Below are 2,681 nucleotides of genomic sequence, written 5' to 3'. Positions count from 1 at the left end.
GACAAAAAACAGAATTTGGGCCCACCAAGGTAGCCAAGATAGGTTTTCACAGAATCAACATTCAACCTCTTTAATTTTCTTCATCACTTGTTTGCTTACTTTTGCACTGATTTCTGCTCTTCTCAGCTTTCTCTTATAGACAGCAAAGATTTGGCTCTGCCTTTTGTATTCAGTCTGAAAACCTCTGCCTTTTAATTGGAGTGTTTATATAATTTACATAAAAAGTAATTATTGAGAAGGTTGAATCTAAATAAGCCATTTTGTTATGGCTTTTCTATTATTCCCATCTGTTTTTTGTTACTCTTGGCCTCTTTTCCTGCCTTCTTCCAACACTTTTTCTTTCTCATTCAAAGAAAAAGAATTTTAACTCAATATGTAATCAGGGAGCCATTTAAAAAAATTAATACTCTAAAGGCATAAGTAGAACAACCTTAGATGTCATCATGCACTTTCCCAGGGTCTTTTTTTTCCTGAAGAAAAGAGGTATATCAACAGAAAGGGAACACCAAGTTGCCACGGATTTCTATGCTTAAGCATTCTGCCCTGTTTGTGGATCTTCATTCATAGCCAAAGTAAAAACTACCCTTTACGGTAGTCAATAGTGATGTTTAGAAAAATTCAGAGGTCAGGTATGGTAGCTCACACCTGTAATCCCAGCACTTTCAGAGACCAAAGCAGGCAGATCACTTGCGCTCTGGAGGTTGGGACCATCCTGGGCAACATGGCAAAACCCCATCTCTACAAAATAAAAAATTTAAAAATAAAAAACTAAATTAAATTAAAGAAAATTTCAGCTTCTTCTTCTCTTTCTAAGCACATGGTAGGATCTACTTTCCCTTCCCTTTGAAATTACGCATGGACATGTAACTTGCTTTCATGGTGAAACATGAGTTGAAATAGTAAGTATCACTTTTGGGCAGAAACTCTAAGAGCAAACAAACAAACTGCAACATCTTCTCCAGCACCTAGATCATAAAAGCCATGTAAAGTCAGAGTCTCTGCAGCCTGAATACCTAAGTAGCTGCAACAAACCTCCTGCTGGCCGTGAGAGAAATACAGTGTAACTAAAAAAAACAGACAAAAGAAACTGTGTGGCAAGTTGCTGATTTGGGGCTGCTTATTACTGCAGCACAACTTAACTCATCCTTTCTGATATACCCTTTAGAATCTTTTGGCCAGTGTCTCACCGTCAGCAGTGGGTCAACTGCAGGCTGCTAAGGGTCAAGTGCCAGCGGCTAAGGGCACATAAGGAGCTGCTACCAGTTCAGCGTTGGCTCTGGCGTCAGGGTCGTTGTGTCCCGACAACCTCTCTGGTAGCCGTTTCTGAGACAGCAGGTGCAGGTGCGGCCGCTTTAGCCCTGAGCAGGCTCTGCCGCTGCTTGCAGGTCTCTGCTAGCGCCCGACCCTTCTCTTCACGGACCTTGAGCCCACAGCCCAAGTGCTGGGCAATGGCAGCCTCGCACCAGCCCATCAAGGGGATCCTGAAGAACAAGACCTCCAGGACTTCCTCTATGGTGGCGTTGTCGGAACAGCCCTGCAGAACTGTCCACGAGGAGCTGAGTAAAAAATGCCAGAAGTGTGATGAAATGAACATCCTGTCAACATATCATCCAGCAGACAAAGACTATGGTTTAATGAAAATAGATGAGCCAAGCCCTCCTTACCATGGTATAACGGGTGATGATGAAAATGCATGTAGTGATACAGAAACCACTGAAACCATGGTATCAGATATCTTAGCTAAGAAATTAGCTGCTGCTGAAGGCTTAGAGCCAAAATATTGGGTTCAGGAACAAGAAAGCAGTGGAGAGGAGGACCTCTTAGCTGAAGAATGAGAAAAAAACAGACAATTTGAAATGAAAAGGAAGCTTCACTACAGTGAAGGACTCAATATCGAACTAGCTAGACAATTAGTTTCAAAAGACCTACATGATGATGACAAAGGTGAAGAAATGTTATAGACTACAGATGGAGAAAGCACGAATACTAAAGAATCAAATTAAGGATCTACTGCAAGTGACCAATGGCTAAACAAATCACGAAGTTCATAGATTTGTTCAACACTGCAACTGTTGGATATAAACCCTGTTACTATAATACATTGCTTCTGGTTTTCCACAATTCATGACTTAAGTACCAAAATGCATACCAGTTATTATAAATTTCCAAGAATTAAATGATAACCTTAGAGACTGATTAGACTGAAAATGCCTAATTGATATATATATTCTTGTGTCTAGTACTTTACCACAAATACAGTGTAATATCATCATTCCAAAACTGCGTTACTTATGTAAAACACTTGTTAATATGTATAAGATAGTATATAGCTTTTTATGCTTTAGAAGTTAAACAGTATCTTTAAGGGGGAGAGGAAGTAATTTATTTTCATCACTCTAAATGTGGTGGTATCTCTTATAAACTGTGTTGGGTTTTTTTTAATCAAAAGCCAATTGAACAACAGGATATATAGACTGATAAATATTAAGGCTGAATAATATTTTAACAGTTGTCTACAACTTGATTTGTCTGTTTAATTGAAAAGGATTATAAGAGTTACTGTTGCATTTTCTGGCCTACTACCTTTAAAATTCCTGTTGAGTTTCTTTGTATTTACAAGGAAAGGACTGAAGTTTATCTCATCAAAACTAGCTTTTTCCCCACAAATAAATTATCAGATT

General features: G+C 38.9%; 1 pseudogene; it reads left to right on the top strand.

Moving 5' to 3' along the window:
* On the top strand, positions 1,249–2,248 carry PPP1R2P5 (protein phosphatase 1 regulatory inhibitor subunit 2 pseudogene 5; annotated as a pseudogene).
* The last annotated feature ends 433 nt before the right edge of the window (positions 2,249–2,681 follow it).

Source organism: Homo sapiens, chromosome 2, assembly GCF_000001405.40.
Source record: "Homo sapiens chromosome 2, GRCh38.p14 Primary Assembly".
NCBI classification, from domain to species: domain Eukaryota; kingdom Metazoa; phylum Chordata; class Mammalia; order Primates; family Hominidae; genus Homo; species Homo sapiens.
Note: the sequence above shows the minus strand (reverse complement) of the source record. Positions and strands in the feature narration are given on the sequence as shown.